General features: G+C 40.8%; 1 pseudogene; it reads left to right on the forward strand.

Annotated features, from left to right (window-relative positions):
- Positions 1 to 2,384: 2,384 nt before the first annotated feature.
- On the forward strand, positions 2,385 to 2,560 carry LOC124905336 (uncharacterized; annotated as a pseudogene).
- Positions 2,561 to 2,567: the final 7 nt, after the last annotated feature.

Here is a 2,567-nt window from a genome sequence, read left to right on the forward strand (position 1 = left end):
AGGGAAAAGAGAGGAATCCCATGATTTCTGGCAAACACTGCTGCTTCTTTTGTAGTTGTGTGAGATGAATGCCTCTACATGCACACAAGTGCCATGTTGAGGGGGATGAATCTTTCAAGATTTGTTTAAAGTCAAATAATGTGAAGGTCCATGACTGACCTCCAGGCCTCTCAGAGCTTCAGTTAACTCCTTTGTGTTAGGGGATGTTAGAAGAACGTTTACAAGTCAGAGCAGGTGATGCTCAGGAGCAAGAGTGAATGAGGAGGAGGAACCCAAACAGGTCCAGCACAGAACATTAGCATCTGAGCATCAAGTCTACCCCTGAGAAAAAGTGGTCCAAAGGTTTGTGTGGACCCCATTCTCCAGGCCTTACAAACCCTGTGATTTCTGCCTCATTCTGTCCCGTCCTGTCACTTTGAGTCTGAATTGGAAGAGAGAAAAACAGTAACTAGATCAGTAAAGTAAGGAGGAGTGAAGAGCAGGAAGGTGGAGGTCGTGATGGTGGAAGATGGAAACCTCCTCGCGTGAAATAGAACAGTTTGGATGTCAGCTGTCACTGCTCTAGATCTCCTAAAACCCACTCCATTTTTATTAAAAATATACATTGCATTTTTCCAGTGTACACGATATCATGTTAAGAGTTCATAAAGTTTTGAGGATGTGAGTAATCAGAAAGGAGGTTTAAAGAACCGATTATTTTGGTGGTCTGGCTCCTTTACCCCAGTAGGAAAAGATGCCATTTTGCTTATGCCCTGTGCTGAATTTCAGAATGCCTGTCAACCCAACACGCTTCAGCATGAACTTTAACTCAAAAAATCAAAAAGTACCAGGATCAATTTACAATCCTAGCTATATGATATTTTAGAAATTACAAAGCCTGTAAATGAGCTATTTTGTCAACTTCATAGATGAGAAATCTAAGAGTGGGTTAGTCAGTTCTCTTAGATTTCTCATATCCATAAAGTGGATAGAACATCTAATTTAGAGGCTTGTTGAAGGATAGACAGAAATGGCATTTACAAAGTATCTAGTGAAACTACTGGTAGGGATTATATGCTCAGTAAATGATGAGCACTATAATCACAAATAATTTGATCTTTGAAAGTGTAAAATGTATTTGTCTGTCCGCTTGGTTTTTCTCGGAGGCATAGTTTCCCTCTGTCACTCAGGCTGGAGTGCAGTGCTGTGCTCACTGCAGCCTCTGCCTCTCAGGTTCAAGTGATTCTCCTGCCTCAGCTGGGATTACAGGAGCCCGCCACCATGGCCCAACTAATTTTTGAGTTTTTACTAGAGATGGGGTTTCACCATGTTACCCAGGATGGCCTTGAACCTTGGCCTCAAGTGATCCATCCACCTTGGCCTCCGAAAGTGCTGGGATTACAGGCATGAGCCACTGTGCCCGGCCACATTTATTTTAATTCAGAGAACAATTTTTCAGTAAGGTTGTACAAATGATTGTCCTACATTCCTGCATGTTTGAAACTCTTTTTCTCTTTTTGTCTCCATATGTGAATGACAGTTTGGCTAGGTATAGAATGCTTGGTTTACACTTTTTATTGTTCATAAATCTATAGTCTTATCTTTGTTCCCATCCTCTATACCAGCTTGAGTAGGATTAGAGTGTGGGATTCACCTATAAAACTCTATACCCATTGAACAAGTCCTCTTTTCCCCCTCCGCTAGTCCCTGGCATCTGCCATTTTACGTCTCTGTTTCTAAGAGTTTGACTACTTTAAAAACCTCATATAAGAAGGATCATGCAGCACTGTGTTTGTATTTTTGTGACTGGTTTATTTCACTTAGTATAGTATCCCCAAGGTTTATCTATGTTATGACATATGAAAGGATTTCCTTTTTTTTTAAGGCTGAATAATAATTTATTGTGTATATACCACTTTTTAAAATCCATTCATCTCTTGACAGATATTTAGGTTGCTTTTACCTCTTGGCTATTATGAATAATGCTGCAATGAACATGAGATGAACAAGCTCCTTTTTTATCTCTTTACTTTTGTTAGAAGCTTTTAATTCCTGATTAATGAGTTCTGAACGTATGCAGAGGTCTCTACCTGGCAGTGACCTAAAGCCTTGTCTTCTGCCACCCCACTCAGCCTTCAGATTCACGTCTCTAGATTCTTGAGGTTGGGAAATGTTTCCCTAGCAGCCATGGTTTTGCATTCATTGGCCATTCAGGTTTTCTGCTTTGCCATCTTCCCCCGGGGGTTTCCTTATCCTCCTGGAAGCACAACTAGGCATTTAAGTCCATGTTGACTGTATTTTACCTGCTATTTCTATGTGTTTTGCAATAAGGGCTTTTCAAGATACCCATAACTTGTGGCTAAAAATGAGGTTTGTTCCAATGTGCCTTAGAAATATCCAGTTTCATACTTACCTGGCAGGGCAGATACCATGATCTTAAAGGCAGTTTTCCCAGGGCAAGGCTTATCCATTCCACTCTGGATCCATCATAGGGATATGCTGATCCCTGGAATTGCCCCAAATGTGGGAAGCTCTACTGCAAAATTTTTGGTAGTGAGCGATGGCATTATGCATTCATGTATGAATTC

This window comes from Homo sapiens, unplaced genomic scaffold (genome assembly GCF_000001405.40).
Source record: "Homo sapiens unplaced genomic scaffold, GRCh38.p14 Primary Assembly HSCHRUN_RANDOM_CTG27".
Taxonomy (NCBI): Eukaryota; Metazoa; Chordata; class Mammalia; order Primates; family Hominidae; genus Homo; species Homo sapiens.